Genomic DNA, 22530 nt, shown 5'->3' with positions numbered 1-22530 from the left:
GAAAAGAGTTTCAGCTTTGCCATCTATTACACCTGAATAGATCAGACACTAGATTGTTTAATTCAATAGGTAGTTCTATGCTCCACAACCACATGATTTGCCATTTGAGTATCTAGGTGGAAGTAACCCAGGAATGTGATAACGTGGGTCCTCCAAGCAGCTGAATCCCTGCAGTAAATATGTCCCTTCACTTTCTTTGGAACATAAACCAGAGACTTCATAGAGGTTCTCTGAACTTTGCTTCACACCAAGCATTTTTCACACATTTTTAAGAGACTTGGGTGGCCCTACATATATCCCTGTTCACAATACAGCTTGGAGGTTAAGTGGCTACACAAACTTTTTATGATCATAGAGACCTTTATTAGTCTTCATTTCAGTCAGAATTATTTATTTGCCTTTCAGCAGCACATATGGTTTAAGACAAATACAGTAGCTATTTCTTCTTTTCTGTCAAGTCGAAAAGCCTTATCCTGGCATTGTTATTGTGCTCTTCCAAACTGAGAAAACTACATGGACATCTCAATGGAAAGTCACTGCCATCCAAGACCACTTGATCCTGCGTGTTTAATGATCCTCTTTATTTTAAACCTGGATTTAAAGACCTAATGCTGCTGGGTGTGGTGGCTCACACCTGTAATCCCAGCATTTTGGGAGGTCAAAGGGGATGGAGCACTTGAGGTCAGGAGTTCAAGGCCAGCCTGTCCAACGTGGCAAAACCTTGTCTCTACTAAAAATACAAAAATTAGCCAGGTGTGGTGGCACACGCCTGTAATCCCAGCTACTTGGGAGGCTGAGGCACAAAGAGCACTTGATTTTTCATACTTGATTCTCGAGTGAGAATTGCTTGAATCTGGGAGGTGGAGGTTGCAGTGACCCAAGATTGCGCCACTCCACTCCAGCCTGAATGACAGAAAGAGACTCTGTCTCAAAAATTAAAAAAAGAGACCTAATATCCACCTACTATCTGTCTTCATTTTTGGTTACTGCCCACCACAGCTTCTTTCTATTGCCCAGACATCCCTCCTATTCACCTCTGATCCTTCATTCACATCCTCCCATCATCTCTCAAAAACTACTTGTATATATGCATATGTATATATGTGTGTGCATGTATCTATGTTTATCTTCACACGGCTAAGTTGAGGAAAAATTTCCCCCATTTTCTTTTTGTGTCTCTTTTTGTCCTTTCTTTCTTATCCCACCAAAAATAAACAGAGAAATACAACACAACATGATTGATTATACAGTGTAATACCACTTTTTAATAATTTAAAGAAACATCTCTATAGGCCCTTAAATTTAAGTCGGCAGAAATGCTCAAGGTAGTAAGCTTTCTTTGTAAACACATTTTTCCTTTGAGAGCACCGATATTACTTTGAGATTGCATTATCACACAGTTCATTTTCACGATCTAATCTCCACAGATTGGGTCTGTCAATTCCTACCTGTAAGCTGTGCTCTGCCCCAAAGTTGCGCTCAACCATGTTTCTAGTTCAAAGTATAACTTAGCAGACACCTGACCCACTTCTACTTCATTCTTTTTTTTATTTTATTTTTTGAGATGGAGTCTCATTCTGTTGCCAGACTGGAGTGCAGTGGTGTGATCTCAGCTCACTGCAACCTCCGCCTTACTGCGCCTGGCTAATTTTTGTGTTTTTAGTAGAGATGGGGTTTTCCCATGTTGGCCAGGCTGGTCTCGAACTCCTTACCTCAAGTGATCTGCCCGTCTTGGCCTCCCAAAATGTTGAGATTACAGGCATGAGCTACTGGGCCTGGCCTTCATTCTCTTTTTTGGAAAAAAATGTATTCTTATTTTCATAGAGGCAGGGTCTTCACTGTGTTGCCCAGGGTGGTCTTGAACTCCTGGGCTCAAGCAGTCCCCTCGCCTCAGCCTCCAAAAGTGCTGGGATTACAGGTGTGGGCCCCTGTGCCTGGCCTACTTCATTATCTAATCAGGGTAACTGGGTTACTGCCTAGTGAGCTATGATTCTGCCACTGCTCTCCAGCCTGGGTGACAGAGCAAAACCCCTGTCTTAAAAAAAAAAAAAAAAAAAGGCAGCAGAGTCTTACCAGCAGCACCTCTTTAACCCACCATAGTCAACTGCAAAACCTCCTTCATGTTAAGTCTTCATGGCTAAAAAGGGGATTTCCTAAATAGCTCCCTAACCATTGCTGGGGTAAGAGTTCCTCCTCAAAAGGCCAGCTTCTTTCCCTTTCTGTCCCCTCTAAGGGAAGCTCCCCTCTCCCTCCTCCAGTGAGCTTCTGAAGCCATAACCATTGTGAGAAATAGCTCCTACCTCAAAGACTTCTTATAACATCTTGTCACAGGAGGTGAGCACTGCCAGGGCTCCACCACAGTGCTCAAAGGTAGGGCCTAGAGAAGTTATATTAGTTAGGATACATGTTCAGCTGCTTTAACAAAAGCCCATTCCGGCCGGGCGCGGTGGCTCACACCTGTAATCTCAGCACTTTGAGAGGCCGAGGCAGGCGGATCACAAGGTCAGGAGATCGAGACCATCCTGGCTAACACGGTGAAACCTCATCCCTACTAAAAACACAAAAAATTAGCCAGGCATGGTGGTGGGCACCTGTAGTCCCAGCTACTCAGGAGGCTGAGGCAAGAGAATGGCATGAACCTGGGAGACAGAGCTTGCAGTGAGCCAAGATTGCGCCACTGCACTCCAGCCTGGGTGACAGTGTGAGACTCCATCAAAAAAAAAAAAAAGCCCATTCCACAGACCCACACGGTTTTGTGAGAAAAAAATAGCCCAAAAGGATTCCAGGAGAATATTTTCACTTAGTAATCCAAAGGAGGTGGTCCAGAAAAGTAGGGCAGCTCTGTTCCACGAGGTCACCCAGGGGTCCAAACTTCTTTTTGTGAAAAACCATGTTTTCTTCATTTACTTGGTGCAAGGTGGCTCATCACTGCATCTATATTCTAGCCCATGAGAAGAGGAGGAAAGGGGATGTATAAGGCCTTGGACTCTGGTACAGAAGGCTCCAAAGTCTGGGGGTTATATTGGACTTCATTAAGAAAACTGTTGGTTCTGTCTACAAAATATACCTAGAATCTAATCATTTCCCATCACCTTCACTGCTACCACCTAATCCAAGCCACCGTCATCTCTGGCCAGGATTATTGCAATAATTTTCTATCTGGTCTGCCCATTTCTTACTTGTTTGCCCCACCATTATACCTAACAGTCTATTCTCAACACAGCAGAAAGAGGGATCTTTCTATAACAAAAATCAGATTGCTTTTCCCCTTTGCGAAAATCATTCAAAGGCTGAAAAGCATCTATATGATGTAACCTCCTACATTCTTGTTGAATTTTTTTCCTTCTTTTCTTCCTCTTGCTCGGTTTTCTCATCCTGCCCTAGACATACTGGCATCCTTATTGCTTCTAGAATATGTTAGACATACTTCTGCCATAGCAGTGGTGCCTGGAACACTCTTGCTGGAAATATCCACGACTAATTCCCTCACCTCTGTCAAGCCTTTGCAGTTATTTTTTCAACGAGTCTTTCTCAGACCACCTTATTGAAAGCTAAAACCAGGCTGGGTGCAGTGGCTTAAGCCTGTAATCCTAGCATTTGGGATGCTGAGGTGGGCAGATCACTTGAGGTCAGAAGTTTGAGACTAGCCTGGCCAACATGGTGAAACCCCATCTGTACTAAAAATATGAAAATTAGCTGGCTGTGGTGGCTCACGCCTGTAATCCCAGCTACTTGGAGGCTGAGGCAGGAGAATCGCTGGAACCCAGGATGTGAAGGTTGCAGTGAGTCGAGATCATGCCACTGCACTCCAGCCTAGGCAACAAAGCAAGACTGTCTTAAAGAAAAGAAAGAAAGAAAGAAAGTTAAAAACCACCTTCTATTCCCTTTATCCTTTTCAATTTTTTCATCTTTCTGTAGTACTTACCATCTTTTAATATACAATGTAATTTTATAATATTACTTTTTTACTATCTATCCCTGCCTGGTAAATATAAAATCTAAGAGGGAAGAAATAGTTGTCTGTCTTATTTAGTGAAGTATCTCAATCAGCTAGAATAGTGCCTGAACAATGTGAGCAATTAACAAATATTGGCTGAATGAATGAGTGATCGGGATTCAGAAATGGTGGTTGCCACTCCTGAGTTAGTCTTATGGGTTGGATGGTAACCCTCCTCCCCCACCAAAAAAAAGATATGTTGAAGTCCTAACCCCCATTACCTCAGACTGTGACCTTATTTGAAATGGGGTCTAGGTTGGGCACGGTGGCTCACACCTGTAATCCCAGCACTTTGGGAGGCCGAGGCGGCTGGATCACGAGGTCAGGAGTTTGAGACCAGCCTGGCCAATATAGTGAAACCCCGTCTTTACTAAAAATAAAAAAATTAGCCGTATGTGGTGGCGCACATCTGTAGTCCCAGCTACTCAGGAGGCTGAGGCAGAAGAATCGCTTGAAACCGGGAGACGGAGGTTGCAGTGAACCGAGATCATGCCACTGCACTCAAGCCTAGGCAACAAGAGCGAAACCTGTCTTAAAAAAAAAAAAAAGAGAGAGAGAGAGAAATGGGGTTTTTACAGAGGCAATAGAATAGAAAATAGAATGAGGTATTAGGGTGGGCCCTAATTCAAAATGACTGGTGTGTTTATATAAAGGGGAAATTTAGACAGTCACACAGGGAGAATGCTATGTGAAGATGTAGGCAGAGATCAGCGTAACACATGTACAAGCCAAGGAAGGCCAAAGTTTGCCAGCAAACCACAAGAAGCTAGGCAAGAGCCATGGAAAAGATGTTCCAGGACAGCCCTCAGAAGGAAACAACCTTGATTTCAGACTTAGTCTCCAGACTGTGAGACAATACATTTCTGTTGTCTTAGGCCAACCAGTTTCTGTTGCTTTGTTACAGCAGCCCTAGGAAATGAATACATTTAGTCTCTAGATATTTGGGAAGGTTTAAATGAGGTCTGGAAACTTACTTAGATCTGGAAGTACCTGAAAACTGTAAAGCAGTGGCCAAACAAGTTATAATAGGTAAACAAGAGTATGTCTTCAAAAGTTAACTGTGTCTACTCAAGGACTCAGTAGGACAGTTGCTAAGTTCTGCCGTTTCTCTTTTCTCCACTCTATCCCTACCCCTCACCATCATCATCAAACAAAAACATCTGCTGTAAGTCTTAGGGGAATTCCTAAGCTCCTATTTCCCATAAAGGATTCAGGTGAGCATCAACCAGCTGTTCTTGAAGCTTTTTCTCCAAGGCTGAACTACACCTTAAATCTAATGTGTTCATCTGCTTCCTGGAAGATTAGGAACCTCTCTGGTGCAGGGCTTTCTGTTTGAAGGTGTTCTATTCAGATAGATCACTCATCCTCAAGGCATACACACACACACGTAAACATACCAGTATCCCACCCTCCAATCCCCTGCCCCAACAGAATGCGGAAGAAGACGGTTGCCTTCAACAGGCCCTGCGATGATCACACTGTCCCAGCAGGGTCAATAATGACATTGGAAGGGGAGGCTCCTGACTTTTGGTGAGGATAGTGGTTAGAAGCTATTAGGGGTCTTCCATGGGCTTTTCTTTGTTTGGGGAATGAGATTCTGTTTAGGGTTTTATAAGGTGATTCAGACCACCCCATGGGCCATATGGCTTCTGAATTGCTAACAGCCTAAAGGAACAGATCATAGGCACCTGTAAGGTAAGGATGTCCTAGTACACAGAAAAGACAAAGTTTTAGACTAAGCTGGGAAGGATCTGACACTGGGGAGAGTCAGCCACCAGAAGGAGTAAGTGAGAGGGCAGAGTGAGATCCCAGGCCTGAAAGAATGGGGCAGCATGACAGGAGCCAATTCTTGCTCACTGGAATAGGACACACGAAGGAAGGGATTTGGTGTCCAGGAATAAGCCAAGATCCTGATGATAGAACTGTGGGTCAGCCAGGTGCGGTGGCTCACTCCTGTAATCGCAGCACTTTGGGAGGCTGAGACGGGTGGATCACGAGGTCAGGAGTTCAAGACCAGCCTGGCCAAGAAGGTGAAACCTTGTTTCTACTAAAAATACAAAAAAAATTAGCGGGGCATGGTGGCAGTTGTAATCCCAACTATTCTGGAGGCTGAGGCAGGAGAATCACTTGAACTCGGGGGACAAAGGTTGCATGAGCCGAGATCACGCCACTGCACTCCAGCCTGGGTGACAAAGTGAGACTCCATCCAAAAAAAAAAGGAACTGTGGGTCAAGGTTGGAGAGAGTCTGGCAGTGACCCTGACTTAGGGGTGAACTCACAAAATCTCACCTGAAGTTTTAAAATTATCTTTGGTTTGGAATGGGAGCCAATCATTTCTTAAGCATCTGTTAATCACCTGTGATATATTAAGGTGTACAAGGCACTGGGGGTACAGCCATGACAGTCCTTATTCTCAAAGAGTTCACAGTCTAATAGAGAAGAAATTAAAAATAAATTAATGACAACATAACGTGTTAAGTGTGATAAGACAAGTATGACAGAAGGGGGAATGCTGTAGTGGTTAAGAGCTCAGGCCATGGGTCCAACAGATCTGACTTTAGATCCTGACTCTGCAATTGCAGGTTGTGTGATCTTGAGTAAGTTACTAAGCTTCTATAAGCTTCAGTGTTGTTTGTTAAAAATGAGACCAATAATAGTACAGTTGATCCTTGAACAACATGGGTTTCAACTGTGCAGATTCACTTAGGCATAGATTTTCTCCCTCTGCCCCTACCACCCCGAGACAGCAAGACTCACCCATCTTCTTCCCCCTCCACAACCTACTTATTGTAAAGATGATGAGGATGAAGCCCTTTATGATGGTCCACTTCCACTTAATGGCTAGTAAATACATGTTTTCTTCCTTATGGTTTCCTTTTTTTTTTTTTTTTTTTTTTGAGGTGGAGTTTTGCTCTTGTTACCCAGGCTGGAGTGCAGTGGTATGATCTTGGCTCACTAAAACCTCCACCTCCCAGTTCAGGCAATTCTCCTGTCTCAGCCTCCCAAGCAGCTGGGATTACAGGCATGCACCACCATACCCGGCTAATTTTGTATTTTTAGTAGAGACAGGGTTTCACCATGTCAGTCAGGCTGGTCTCGAATTCCTGACCTTAGATGATTCACCCACCTCGGCCTCCCGAAGTGCTGGGATTATAGGCGTGAGCCACTGCTCTCAGCCCCTTATGATTTCCTAATAACATTTTCTTTTCACTGGCTTACTTTATTGCAAGAATACGTATATAATACATAAAACATACAAAATATGTGTTAATTGATACTTTATGTCATTAGTAAGGCTTTTGATCAACAGAAGGCTATTAATAGTTAAGTTTTGGGGGAGTCAAAAGTTATATGCAAGTCAAGTTTGGTGGTATGTTCCTGTAGTCTCAGCTACTTAGGAGGCTGAGTTGGGAGGAATCCTTGAGCTCAGGAATTTGAATCCAGCCTGGGCAACATAGTGATACTCGTTTCTAAAAAAAAAAATAATAGGGCCAGGCATGGTGGCTCACACCTGTAATCCCAGCACTTTGGGAGACTGAGATGGGCAGATTACTTGAGGTCAGGAGATCAAGACAGCCAGCCTGGCCAACATGGTGAAACTCTGTCTCTACTAAAAATACAAAAATTAGCCAGCATGGTGGCAAAAGCCTGTAGTCCCAGGTACTTGGGAGGCTGAGGGAGGAGAATCACTTGAACCTAGGAGGCAGAGGTTGCAGTGAGCCGAGATCGCACCACTGCACTCCAGCCTGGGCATCAGAGTGAGAGAGTTGGTCTCAATAATAATAATAAGTCCGGGCATGGTAGCTTATGCCTAAAATCCCAATACAACACTTTGGGAGGCCAAGGTGGGCGGATCACCTGACGTCAGGAGTTCAAGACCAGCCTGGCCAACAAAGTGAAACACCATCTCTACTATAAATATAAAAATTAGCAAGGCGTGGTGACAGACACCTGTAATCCCAGCTATTAGGGAGGCTGAGGCAGGAGAATCACTTGAACCCGGGAGGCGGAGGTTACAGTGAGACGAGATTGTACCACTGCACTCCAGCTTGGGCAACAGGGCAAGACTCTGTCTCAAAATAATAATAATAATAATAATAATAATAATAATAATGGGCTGGGCACAGTTACTCACTCCTGTAATTCCAGCACTCTGGGAGGCTGAGGCAAGAGAATCACTTAAGGCCAAGAGTTCAAGACCAGCCTGGGCAACATAACAAGACCCCATCTCTACAAAAATAAAAATATCAGCCAGGCATGGTGATGTACTTCTGTAGTCCCAGCTACTTGGGAGGTGGAGGTGGGAGAATGACTTGAGCCTAGGAGTTTGAGGCTGCAGTGAGCTATGATTGTGCCACTGCGTTCTGACCTGGGTGACAGTGGCAGACTATGTCTCAATAACAACGAAAAGTTTTATGTAAATTTTTTTTACTGTGTGTGGGGTCAGCGCCTCTAGGCACCCCCCATGTTTTTCAAGGGTCACCTGTACTTACCCACAATGTAAGATCTTTTTTTTTTTTTTAAGAGACAGTTTCTCACTTTGTTGTCCAGGCTTGTCTCAAACTCTTAGGCTCAAGCAATCCTCCTGCCTTGGCCTCCCAAAGCACTGGGATTACAAGTGTATGTAAGATTCTTATGAGGATCAAATTAGATCATACATGTCTGGCATCTAGTAAATTCTCAATAACATTGACTATCATTTTATTATAAATTGTTTTAATAATAACAATAATAATTATTATAATTATCTGCAGGAAGGTAAGTCAGAAAATGTTTCTAAGAAAGGTGGCATTTGAATTGAATATTGAAGAACAAAAAAGTTGCTGGGCTAGGGTTGGGAGGAAGGGAATAAATTGCTTCTGTTTTTTGCCCTGCCGGATTTCTCAGAAGGTTTTAGGTAGGATGATGAATTCAGCGATAGTCAAATTGAATTTGAGATGCCTGTGAGCAACACAGGATGTTTTGACCTCTTTATTCTAACCCTACTATAATCTAAAATTTTACATACTTGCCTCATGTATGATTGTAACTCCATGAAATGAATATAACTATTAATCTTTTTTCTGCTTGATCTTCATTCAATACTACAGATAGAAATAGCACAAAATAAAATGGAAGAAGACAGAGTTACACACAGTATACTTTTGTGCTGATTGAAAAACTGACATTCAAGTCTTCTTAACCCAGAAAAACTGGTCTTGATAAGAAAAAAGGCAGAGGGGCAGGGCGCGGTGGCTTATTCCTGTAATCCCAGCACTTTGGGAGGCCCAGGTGGGTGGATCACGAGGTCAAGAGATCGAGACCATCCTGGCCAACATGGTGAAACCCTGTCTCTACTAAAAATACCTGGAGGCTGAGGCAGGAGAATCACTTGAACCCGGGAGGTGGAGGTTGCAATGAGCCGAGATGGCGCCACTGCACTCCAGCCTGGTAACAAGCAAGACTCCGTCTCAAAAAAAAAAAAAAAAAAAAAAGGCTGGGTGCGGTGGCTCATGCCTGTAATCCCAGCACTTTGGGAGGCCAAGGTGGGCGAATCACCGGAAGTCGGGAGTTCGAGACCACCCTGACCAACATGGAGAAACCCTGTCTCTACTAAAAACACAAAAATTAGCTGGGCGTAGTGGCACATGCCTGTAATTCCAGCTACTCGGGAGGCTGAGGCAGGAGAATTGCTTGAACCCGGGAGGTGAGGTTGAGGTGAGCCAAGATCACACCATTGCACTCCAGCCTGGTCAACAAGAGCAAAATTCTGTCTCAAAAAAAAAAAAAAAAAAAAAAAAAAAAAAAAAAAAAGGGACAGGGAGCGGGCACAAAATAAAACTTACTTTGGTAGAAATTATAAGAGACAAAATTTGGTATGGGCAAAAATAAAGTAAAACTGATTAATAAATCCAATCTTTGGCCAGGCACTCTGGCTTACACCTGTAATCCCAGCACTTTGGGAGGCTGAGATGGGTGGATCACTTGAGATCAGGAGTTTGAGACCAGCCTGGTCAACATGGTGAAACCCTGTCTCTACTAAAAATACAAAAATTAGCCAGGAGTGGTAGCCAGCATCTGTAATCCCAACTACTCAGGAGGCTCAAACAGGAGAATTGCTTGAGCCCAGGAAGCAAAGGCTACAGTGAGCCGAGATCGTGCCATGCATTCCAGCCTCTGTAACGGGAGGTTGTCTCAAAAAAACAAACAAACAAACAAACAAAACAAAAATAGAAGGCTGTCTCAAAAAAAAATCTAATCTTTGTCATAAATTATTATGGAAAAGAATTATTTCAATAAGATAAAAATTTAAATAAAGCTTAATTGCATTCTGTAGGAAATTAATATAGAAATTAAGTGGTCATAATCAAATTTAATCCAAAAGCTACCTTTTGGATGAGAAGCCATCCATATTGATATAATTCTGATTACTATGTTTGCTTTCATAAACATGGACTCAAAACATCCTTGGATGCAAAATCTCAGGTCAAAATCTCCAGTGACATCCAGATGGATTGGTCTAGGAAATAGTAGGAACTCTTTATCTAGAGTTTAAGAAGTCAGGGCAACAACAAATCCAGATTTTTCAGGAAAAAATTTGTTTTGAGGTGGGGTCCTGCTCTGTTGCCCAGGCTGGAGTGCAGTGGCTTGATCATAGCTCGCTGCAGCCTCAAACTCCTGGGCTCATGCAATCCTCTTGCCTTGGCCTCCTGAGTAGTTGGGACTACAGCATGAGCCACTAGATCTGGCTATTTTAAAAATTTATTTTTTGTAGAGACAGGTTTTTGCTATATTTCCCAGGCTGGTCTCAAGCAATCTCCCTGTCTCAGCCTCCCAAAGTGCTGGGATTACAGGTGTGAGCCACTGTGTCTGGCTGAAATACAGATTTTGAAGCTATCACTCTGTAAGTATTAATCCGTTTTCTTTTGCATCTGCCATAAAATAATAATGCATAGTAGGAATCTAATAAATGCTTGTTGAATTCTCTCTAGTCAGCCCTACAAGCATTACGAACTGAAGAATTATAACCGTAGAGTCATTCATTTTAATTTAGCAAGTACTAAATACTTTACAGAAAGGAACTCTCATGCTGGGAGAATGATAATCAGAGTGAAACTGAGGCTCACCAAGACTTGAACATATGGAGTATAACCACAAGTCCTATCAAAAAATATACTATATTTGCTGGGTATAGTTGCTCATGCCTATAATCCCAGCACTTTGGGAGGCTGAGGTAGGAGGATCACTTGAGCCCAGGAGTTCAAGACCAGCCTGGGCAACATAGTGAGACCTCATCTCTACAAAAAATTTAAAAATTAGCTGGGCATGGTCATGAGCACCTGTGGTCCTAGTTATTGGGGTGGCTGAGGTAGGAGGCACTTGAGCCTAGGAGGTCAAGGCTGCAGTGAGCCAAAAGCATGCCATTGCACTCCAGCTTGGGCAACAGAGTGAGACCCTGTCTCAAAAAAAAGAAAAAATAATACTATGTCTGGTCCATAACCTGAAATATTTTTATCTTCACGTTCCTTATCATTCACTGAACTTTTATTTTTCTTTTAAAATTTTTTCTTTCTTTTTAAATTTGCTTCTACAGATTTCTTCATTCTCCATTTAGCAAGGTCATGGAAGATTTGGAGGAAACATTATTTGAAGAATTTGAAAACTATTCCTATGACCTAGACTATTACTCTCTGGAGTCTGATTTGGAGGAGAAAGTCCAGCTGGGAGTTGTTCACTGGGTCTCCCTGGTGTTATATTGTTTGGCTTTTGTTCTGGGAATTCCAGGAAATGCCATCGTCATTTGGTTCACGGGGTTCAAGTGGAAGAAGACAGTCACCACTCTGTGGTTCCTCAATCTAGCCATTGCGGATTTCATTTTTCTTCTCTTTCTGCCCCTGTACATCTCCTATGTGGCCATGAATTTCCACTGGCCCTTTGGCATCTGGCTGTGCAAAGCCAATTCCTTCACTGCCCAGTTGAACATGTTTGCCAGTGTTTTTTTCCTGACAGTGATCAGCCTGGACCACTATATCCACTTGATCCATCCTGTCTTATCTCATCGGCATCGAACCCTCAAGAACTCTCTGATTGTCATTATATTCATCTGGCTTTTGGCTTCTCTAATTGGCGGTCCTGCCCTGTACTTCCGGGACACTGTGGAGTTCAATAATCATACTCTTTGCTATAACAATTTTCAGAAGCATGATCCTGACCTCACTTTGATCAGGCACCATGTTCTGACTTGGGTGAAATTTATCATTGGCTATCTCTTCCCTTTGCTAACAATGAGTATTTGCTACTTGTGTCTCATCTTCAAGGTGAAGAAGCGAAGCATCCTGATCTCCAGTAGGCATTTCTGGACAATTCTGGTTGTGGTTGTGGCCTTTGTGGTTTGCTGGACTCCTTATCACCTGTTTAGCATTTGGGAGCTCACCATTCACCACAATAGCTATTCCCACCATGTGATGCAGGCTGGAATCCCCCTCTCCACTGGTTTGGCATTCCTCAATAGTTGCTTGAACCCCATCCTTTATGTCCTAATTAGTAAGAAGTTCCAAGCTCGCTTCCGGTCCTCAGTTGCTGAGATACTCAAGTACACACTGTGGGAAGTCAGCTGTTCTGGCACAGTGAGTGAACAGCTCAGGAACTCAGAAACCAAGAATCTGTGTCTCCTGGAAACAGCTCAATAAGTTATTACTTTTCCACAAATCAGTATATGGCTTTTTATGTGGGTCCTCTGACTGATGCTTTCAGATTAAAATTGTTTCCAAGATAGAGAGCCGACTCCACTTTCATAGTTATTGTTTCTGGTCACTATATAGGCATCACATTTTTGTGTGGATATGAAACTTAGGAAGGATCCTCTTGACTCCTTGTGATGTGGCAATAAATTTTTTTTAAAAAACTGAAAATACTTAGGAAGGATCCGCATAATTTTTTTCTGCAACTTAAATGAAATGCATCATTCTTGTTAATTATACCATGGTGAATTAATCACTTTTGAAGCAATATCAGTTATTTTTTGAATAATAACTTTTCTAAAGCCTTAAGTCTTAATATTAAATATATGATTAGCCAGGCACGGTGGCTGACACCTGTAATCCCAGCACTTTGGGAGGCCAAGGTGGGGGGATTACCCGAGGTCAGGAATTCGAGACCAGCCTGACCAACATGGAGAAACCCCGTCTCTACTAAAAATACAAAATTAGCCGGTCATGGTGGTGCATGTCTGCAAACCCAGCTACTCGGGAGGCTGAAGCAGGAGAATCACTTGAACCTGGGAGGCAGAGGTTGTGGTGAGCCAACATCACACCATTGCACTCCAGCCTGGGCAACAAGAGTAAAACTCTGTCTCAAAAATAAATAAATAAAATAGATAAATAAATATATGATTAACTAATTTTAAAAATGTTAAAATGTATTCTTAAATTCATTTTAATTTTGTACAATAACCTGCTAGACACATTTTTAAAATGCAACATGTGTACTTAATTTCTTTATGTAATCTATGTATATACATTTATGAATTAAAGTAATTGTTGGTTATCTTAAAACATCTGTTCTAGTTAATGATTTGGGAGATTTTTTCTTCTTTCTCCCACTCTCTCTGTTTTTTATAGTAGGAACAGCCTTTATTGGTTGCAATGGGAAGTGGAAGAGGAGGGGATATGACAGCTCATGTTCCTGGGACAGTGTCCACAAATACCGTCGCCACACTCCAAAAACCCAGTTAACTAATGATGCTTAATAAACTCCTCCTAAACCTAGTTCTTAAAACAGTTTATACTTTTGATATAATTCTCACAATTCTGAGGGTCAGGAATTCAAAGAAGTCAGAAAAGAGGTTCATCTCTCTCTGCTTTGCAATATCTGGAGCATCAGCTGGACTGAGATGATGCAAATCGAAGCTGGAAGCTGCCTAAGACATCCCCTTCCCTCCCTCCCTCTCCCCTCCCAACACAGCTATTCCACCATGGCATTTCAGGGTCGCCAGACTTCTAATGTGGCAACTCAGGGCTCCAAGAGGCCAAGGTGGAAATTTCTAGTCCTGTTAAAGGCTATGACTGGCACAGGTACAGTATCACTTCTATTGTATTGTATTGGTCAAAGCAGGCATAGACCAGCTCATGTTCAAGGGGAAGAGACACAGATCCCCATCTCTCAACGGAAAGAATGTCAAAAAAAATTGCACCAATCTTTAATCCTCTACGGTATCATTATAAACAGAAATGCTTTTAGAAAATTCTGGGTATCAGGTACCTATCAATGGTAGATTGGATAAACAAAGTGTGGTACATATACATCATGGACTACTGCACAGCCATAAAAAAGAATGAAATCGTGTCCTTTGCAGCAACATGGATGGAACTGGAGGCCATTATCCTAAGTAAATTAGTGCAGGACAGAAAACCAAATACTGCATGTTCTCACTTGTAAGTGGGAGCTGAGGCTGGGCTCGGTGGCTAATGCCTGTAATCCCCGCACTTTGGGAGGCCAAGATAGGCGGGTCACCTGAAGTCAGGAGTTCAAGACCAGCCTGGTCAACAAGGTGAAACCCCGTCTCTACTAAAAATACAAAAATTAGCCAGGTGTGGTGGCACGCACCTGTAGTCCCAGCTACTCGGGAGGCTGAGGCAAGAGAATCACTTGAACCTGGGAGGCGGAGGTTGCAGTGAACCGAGATTGCGCCACTGCACTCTAGCCTGGGCAACAGAGTAAGACTGTCTCAAAAAAAAAAAAAAAAAAAAAAAAAAAAAAAAAAAGCCTGGGCGGCTGGGTTCAGTGGCTCACACTTGTAATTCCAGCACTTTGGGAGGCCGAGGAGGGGTGGATCACAAGGTCAGGAATTCGAGACCAGCCTGACCAACATGGTGAAACCCCATCTCTACTAAAAATCCAAAAAATTAGCTGGGCGTGGTGGCATGTGCCTGTAATCCCAGCTACTCAGGAGGCTGAGGCAGAAGAATCACTTGAACCCAGGAGGTAGAGGTTGCAGTGAGCTGAGATTGAGCCACTGCACTCCAGCCTGGGCAACAGAGCGAGACTTGGTCTCAAAAAAAAAAAACAACCACCTGTTGGGGTACTGTGCTCACTACCAGGGTGAGAGGATTCATACTTTAAACCTCAGCATCACACAATATTCCCACGTAATGAATCTGCACATGTACCCCCACTAACTAAAATAAAAGTTGAAATTTAAAAAAAAAGGAAATGGCTATGTAAACGTGTATAAACTAAGGGTATATATGAAAACACTGACATTCAGATGGCAAACAGACCAGTCTAATTTCAGAATGATTTCAGAAAAATCATGGACATATTGATATATTTCCACCTTCTATTCCTATATTTATATAGACACCAGTGTAAGATCAATAAAGCATACCTTTAGGTCAGTGACCTCTTCATGGTGCAAATCTGTTGAATTTTAGACTACACATCCCTTCCAAATCACTCTTTCCCTAAGGTATATAAGCCCTGGGTCTTGCAGGTAATGGTGCGGGGATCCACCGTCTTGTCTCACCACTGTCCAAGACACAGATATGGCTTCTGTTCGTAAGTCTCTATCAAATGTTTCTTTCCAAGAAACTGGGTATGTCAGCCTCTTTAGCCTCTCAGCTTCCTCAGACTTTGATGGTTGAGGAAACTGCACAGCATGGAATGGGTTTAGAAAGTGAGATTAAACCTGCATTAAAAATCCTAAAATAGCCCTCTCCCGTCTCCCTCTCCCTCTCCCTCTCCCGTCTCCCTCTCCCTCTCCCGTCTCCCTCTCCCTCTCCCGTCTCCCTCTCCCTCTCCCGTCTCCCTCTCCCTCTCCCGTCTCCCTCTCCCGTCTCCCTCTCCCTCTCCCGTCTCCCTCTCCCGTCTCCCTCTCCCTCTCCCGTCTCCCTCTCCCTCTCCCGTCTCCCTCTCCCTCTCCCTCTCCCGTCTCCCTCTCCCTCTCCCTCTCCCGTCTCCCTCTCCCTCTCCCTCTCCCGTCTCCCTCTCCCTCTCCCTCTCCCGTCTCCCTCTCCCTCTCCCTCTCCCGTCTCCCTCTCCCTCTCCCGTCTCCCTCTCCCTCTCCCTCTCCCGTCTCCCTCTCCCTCTCCCTCTCCCTCTCCCTCTCCCGTCTCCCTCTCCCTCTCCCTCTCCCTCTCCCTCTCCCGTCTCCCTCTCCCTCTCCCGTCTCCCTCTCCCTCTCCCGTCTCCCTCTCCCTCTCCCGTCTCCCTCTCCCTCTCCCGTCTCCCTCTCCCTCTCCCGTCTCCCTCTCCCTCTCCCGTCTCCCTCTCCCTCTCCTTTCCACAGTCTCCCTCTCATGCTGGGCCAAAGCTGGACTGTACTGCTGCCATCTCGGCTCGCTGCAGCCTCCCTGCCTGATTCTCCTGCCTCAGCCTGCCGAGTGCCTGCGATTGCAGGCGCGCGCCGCCACGCCTGACTGGTTTTCGTGTTTTTTTGGTGGGGACGGGGTTTCGCTGTGTTGGCCGGACTGGTCTCCAGCTCCTAGCCGCGAGTGATCCGCCAGCCTCGGCCTCCCGAGGTGCCGGGATTGCAGACGGAGTCTCATTCACTCAGTGCTCAATGGTGCCCAGGCTGGAGTGCAGTGGCGTGATCTCGGCTCGCTACGGCCTCCACCTCCCAGCCGCCTGCCTTGGCCCTGCAAAGTGCGGAGATTGCAGCCTCTGCCCGGCCGCCACCCCGTCTGGGAAGTGAGGAGCCTCTCTGCCTGGCTGCCCATCGTCTGGGATGTGAGGAGCCCCTCTGCCTGGCTGCCAGTCTGGAAAGTGAGGAGCGTCTCTGCCCGGCCGCCATCCCACCTGGGAAGTGAGGAGCGCCTCGTCCCGGCCGCCATCCCATCTAGGAAGTGAGGAGCGTCTCTGCCCCGCAGCCCATCCTCTGAGATGTGGGGAGCGCCTCTGCCCTGCCGCCCCGTCTGGGATGTGAGGAGCGCCTCGGCCCGGCCGCGACCCCGTCTGGGAGGTGAGGAGCGTCTCTGCCCGGCCGCCCCGTCTGAGAAGTGAGGAGACCCTCCTCCTGGCAACCGCCCTGTCTGAGAAGTGAGGAGCCCCTCCGCCTGGCTGCCACCCTGTCTGGGAAGTGAGGAGCGTCTCCGCCCGGCAGCCACCCCGTCCGGGAGGGAGGTGGGGGTCAGCCCCCCGCCCGGCCAGCCGCCCCATCCGGGAGGTGAGGGGCACCTCTGCCCGGCCGCCCCTACTGGGAAGTGAGGAGCCCCTCTGCCCAGCCAGGAGCCCCTCTGCCCAGCCAGCCGCCCCGTCCGGGAGGGAGGTGGGGGGGTCAGCCCCCCGCCTGGCCAGCCACCCGGTCTGGGAGCTGAGGGGCGCCTCTGCCCGGCCACCCCTACTGGGAAGTGAGGAGCCCCTCTGCCCGGCCACCACCCCGTCTGGGAGGTGTACCCAACAGCTCATTGAGAATGGGCCATGATGACGACGGCGGTTTTCTGGAATAGAAAAGGGGGCAAGGTGGGGAAAAGATTGAGAAATCGGATGGTTGCCGTGTCTGTGTAGAAAGAAGTAGACATGGGAGACTTTTCATTTTGTTCTGTACTAAGAAAAATTCTTCTGCCTTGGGATCCTGTTGATCTATGACCTTACCCCCAACCCTGTGCTCTCTGAAACATGTGCTGTGTCCACTCAGGGTTAAATGGATTAAGGGCGGTGCAAGATGTGCTTTGTTAAACAGATGCTTGAAGGCAGCATGCTCATTAAGAGTCATCACCATTCCCTAATCTCAAGTACCCAGGGACACACACACTCTGCCTAGGAAAACCAGAGACCTTTGTTCACTTGTTTGTCTGCTGACCTTCCCTCCACTAGTGTCCTATGACCCTGCCAAATCCCCCTCTGTGAGAAACACCCAAGAATGATCAATTAAAAAAAAATAAAATTAAAAAAAAAATTTTTTTTTTAAAATCCTAAAATAAGGTAGAAAATAATAAGTGTCATAAGAGAGCCAAGGAGAAGTGCAGATTGTTCAGAGGAAAGAGATTCCATCCAACTGTGGAGGTGAAGAAACACTGGAAATCTGTATCTTTGTCTTTGGGGTTTCCCAAAGATCCACCCCTTATCCCAGTCTCTTCTGAAGATCCGCCTCTTATCCCTGTCTCTGCTAGAGTCTTTGTCTTATCTGACTCTGCTACTCACTACAAGTTTAAAAACATATTTCCATTTCTATAATTTCTCAATTTTCTTTTGAAAATTATGAAGGGAGCAGTCTTTTTGCCTGCCACCATCCACAGAAGATGTGGCTTGCTCCTCCTTAACTTCCACCATGATTGTGAGGCCTCCGCAGCTATGTGGAACTGTGAGTCCAACTCAACCTCTTTCTTTTGTAAATTGCCCAGTCTCAGGTATGTCTTTATCAGCAGCGCGAAAACAGACAAATACAGCAAATTGGCACCAGTAGAGTGGGTCACTGTTGAAAAGGTACCTGAAAATGTGGAAGTGACATTGGAACTGGGTAACAGGCAGAGGTTGGAACAATTTGGAGGGCTCAGAAGAAGATAGGAGAATGCGGGAAAGCTTGTAACTTCTTAGAGACTTGTTGAATGGCTTTGACAAAAATGCTGATAGTGATACGAACAATAAGGTCCAGGCTAAGGTGGTCTCGGAGATGAGGAACTTGTTGGAAACTTGAGCAAAGGTCACTCTTGTTATGTTTTAGCAAAGAGACTGGTGGCATTTTGCCCCTGCCCTAGAGATTTGTGGAACTTTGAACTTGAGAGAGATGATTTAGGGTATCTGACTTGCAGCAGTCCGTTTTCAGGCTGCTGATAAACATACCCATGACTGGGCGTTTTACAAAAGAAAGAGGTTTAATGGACTTACAGTTCCACTTGACTGGGGAGGCCTCACAATCATGGTGGAAGGCGAAAGGCATGTCTCACATAGGGCAGACAAGAGAAGAGAGCTTGCACAGGGAAACTCCCCTTTTTAAAACCGTCAGATCTTATGAGACTTACTCGCTATCACGAGAATAGCACAGGAAAGACCTGCCCCATGGTTCAATTACCTCCTATTGGGTCCCTCCCACAACACATGAAAATTCAAGATGAGATTTGGGTGGGGACATAGCCAAACCATATCATTCCACCCCAGCCCCTCCCAAATCTCATGTCCTCACATTTCAAACCCAATCACGCCTTCCCAACAGTCCTCCAAAGTCTCATTTCAGCATTAACTCAGAAGTCCAGAGTCCAGGCCGGGTGCAGTGGCTCACACCTATAATCCCAGCACTTTGGGAGGCCGAGGTGGGTGGATCACCTGTGGTCAGGAGTTCGAGACCAACCTGACCAACATGGAGAAACCCCGTCTCTACTATAAATACAAAATTAGCAGGGTGTGGTGGCACATGCTCCAAAATGATCTCCTTTGACTCCATGTCTCACATCCAGGTCATGCTGATCAAGAGGTAGTAGGTTCCCATAGTCTTGGGAAGCTCCGCCCCTGTGGCTTTGCAGGGTACAGCTTCCCTTCTGGCTGCCTTCACAGGCTGACATTGAGTGCCTGAAGCTCTTCTAGGCGAACGGTGTAAGCTGTCAGTGGATCTACCATTCTGGGGTCTGGAGGACAATGGCTCTCTTCTCACAGCTCCACTAGGCAGTGCCCCAGTAGAAACTCTGTGTGGGGGCTCCCACCCCACATTTCCCTTCTGCACTACCCTGACAGAGGTTCTCCATGAGGACCTGCCCCTCTGCCTGGGCATTCTGGTGTTTCCATACATCTGAAATCTAGGCAGAGGTTCCCAAACTTCAATTCTTGATATCTATGCACTTGAAGGCTCAACACCACATGGAAGCTGCCAAGGCTTGGGGCTTGCACCCTCTGTCTGAAGCCATGGCCCGAGCTCTACATTGGCCCTTCAGCCATGGCTGGAGCAGCTGGGACACAGGGCACCAAGTTCCTAGGCTGCACACAGCACAGGGACCCTGGGCCCAGCACACGAAACCACTTTTTCTTTCTAGGCCTCCAGGCTTGTGATGGGAAGGGCTGCCATGAAGACCTCTGATGTACCCTGGAGACATTTTCCCCTTGTCTTGGTGATTAACATTTGGCTCCCTGTTACTTATGCAAATTTCTACAGCTGACTTGACTTTCTCCTCAGAAAATGAGATTTTCTTTTTTATTGCATTGTCAGGCTGCAAATTTTCCAAACTTTTATGCTCTGCTTCCCTTATAAAACTGAACGCCTTTAACAGCACCCAAGTCACCTCTTGAATGCTTTGCTGCTTAGAAATTTATCCCACCAGATACCCTAAATCATGGGTAAAACATATCCATGACTGGGTATCACGAGAACAGCACAAGAAAGACCTGCCCCCATGATTCTATTGCCTCCTGCCAGGTCCCTCCCCACAACACGTGGAAATTCAAGATGAGATTTGGGTGGGGACACAGCCAAACCATATCATGGCAGAAGAAATTTCTAAGCAGCAAAGCATGCAAGGGGTGACTTGGGTGCTGTTAATGGCATTCAGTTTTATAAGGACGCAGCGCATAACAGTTTGGAAAATTTGCAGCCTGACAATGCAATAGAAAAGAAAATCTCATTTTCTGAGGAGAAATCCAAGCTGGCTGCAGAAATTTGCATAAGTAATGAGGAACCAAATATTAATCACCAAGACAATGGTGAAAAATGTCTCTAGGACATGTCAAAAAAACCTTTGCAGCAGCCCCTCCTATCACAGGCCCAAAGGCCTGGGAGGAAAAAGTGGTTTCATGGGCCGGGCCCAGGGTCCCCGTGCTGTGTGCAACCTAGGGACTTGGTGCACTGCATCCCAGCCACTCCAGCCATGGTTGAAAGGGTCCAGCGTAGAGCTTGGGCCATGGCTTCAGAGGGTTCAAGCCTCAAGCCTTGGCAGCTTCCATGTAGTGTTGAGCCTGTGAGTGGACAGACATCAAGAATTGAGGTTTGAGAACCTCTGCCTAGAACAGTGTTTTAGTGTTTAAGTCTCAATTTACACAAGGTAAAATTTACCCTTATGTGATATTTTCTTATCCCTCACCATATTTTCTTATCACCTCACCTCACCTCATCATATTCATGAGAATATGAAGCAAGGATTACACTGATGAAATAGGATTAAACTGTCTAAAAGCAGGGATGAAGAACCTTCCGTATTCTGTTACCAACACATCAACTGGCCTATGAAGACCCTGGCTTGTGTTCCTCCTCTGTCACTTACTAGTGACTTAGTATATTTACTGAATAATCATGGACAAATAAGCATATCTTTTCATAGTAATAGTCCATGAAATATCAAGCATTTCTCAATGTTGCTATAGACTTACTTTTAAAAACAAAGTTTAGGCTGGGCGTGGTGGCTCACGCCTGTAATCCCAGCACTTTGGGAGGCCGAGATGGGCAGATCACTTGAGGTTAGGAGTTCAAGACCAGCCTGGCCAACATGGCAAAACTTCATCTCTACTAAAAATACAAAAATTAGCCGGGCATTGTGGCGCACACAAGTAATCCCAGCTACTTGGGAGGCTGAGGCAGGGGAATCGCTTGAACCTGGGAGGTGGAGGTTGCAATGAGCCAACATCGCACCACGGCACGCCAGCCTGGGCAATAGAGCGAGACTCCATCTCAAAAAAATAAATAAAGTTTATAAAACATTTCATTGAATACATATGCCATAATTTAGACATTTCCATCTGTGAGGATTATAAGTCATCTGATCTCCTTGCTTTCATTCGTATCACCTCCAGATCAAAGCTGTCTTAACATTAATATTCTCTGGTTTGGAAACCTCATATAATGTGCCAGCCTGTAATTCAAATATGTCTACAGGCTGGCCCCATCCTATCTAAGATTCCAAACACACACTGCAAAATCTCACGAATTTGTCTAATTGCTTCCCAAATCTTTATATCTGATTCTTCCAAAAAACTTGTCATCAATTCTAGCCGTCTCTGACCTTCTGAACTTTTAGATTATTTGCTTAATCCCCAAACCAATGACTTTTATTTTTAACAATTTTATGTTTGAATTGCCTCCCTATACTAATTTTCTCTTCTTCTGTGTTTTTTTGTTTCATCTAACAAAGTGATACGGAAGGAATCAGTTTTGAGTTCCCACACTGCCCAGCCCTCTGCTAGGGATGCCGAACATGAAAAATATTGTTTCAGGCTGGACACGTTGGCTCATACCTGTAATCCCAGTACCTTGGAAGGCCAAGGTGGAAGGATCACTTGAGTCCAGGAGTTCAAAGCCTGGGCATCATAGCAAGACCCCATCTCTAAAAAAATTTTTTTAAATTAGCTGGGTATGGTGGCACATGCCTGTAGTCCCAGCTACTCAGTAGGCTGAGGTAGAATTGCTTAAGCCTAGGAGTTCAAGGCTGCAGTGAGCCGTGATCATGCCACTGCACTCCAGCCTGGATGATAGATTGAGACCCTGTCTCAAAAAAAAAAAAAAAAAGAAAAGAAAAACTTTCATAGTCATTATAATCATTTATGGGGCATGCAAAAAAAAAAAAAGTGGGCTCTTTTTTATCTTTGCTTCCTTCTACTCTAAAGCCAGAAACAGGAAAAAAAAAAATCTCTTTGGAAACCAG

General features: G+C 45.2%; 1 protein-coding gene across 8 annotated transcripts in view; it reads left to right on the top strand.

The window, feature by feature from the left end:
• CMKLR2 (chemerin chemokine-like receptor 2) overlaps positions 1-13530 on the top strand; it is a 42597-nt gene extending 29067 nt beyond the window's left edge. For all 8 annotated transcript variants that reach the window (NM_001098199.2, NM_005279.4, XM_047443968.1 and 5 more), the window contains one exon: positions 11571-13530. In NM_001098199.2, coding sequence (NP_001091669.1) covers positions 11599-12666 — 1068 coding nt within the window. In that variant the 5' untranslated portion in view covers positions 11571-11598 and the 3' untranslated portion in view covers positions 12667-13530. The remainder of the gene's footprint in view (positions 1-11570) is intronic.
• The last annotated feature ends 9000 nt before the right edge of the window (positions 13531-22530 follow it).

Source organism: Homo sapiens, chromosome 2 (genome assembly GCF_000001405.40).
Source record: "Homo sapiens chromosome 2, GRCh38.p14 Primary Assembly".
Classification (NCBI taxonomy): domain Eukaryota; kingdom Metazoa; phylum Chordata; class Mammalia; order Primates; family Hominidae; genus Homo; species Homo sapiens.
Note: the sequence above shows the minus strand (reverse complement) of the source record. Positions and strands in the feature narration are given on the sequence as shown.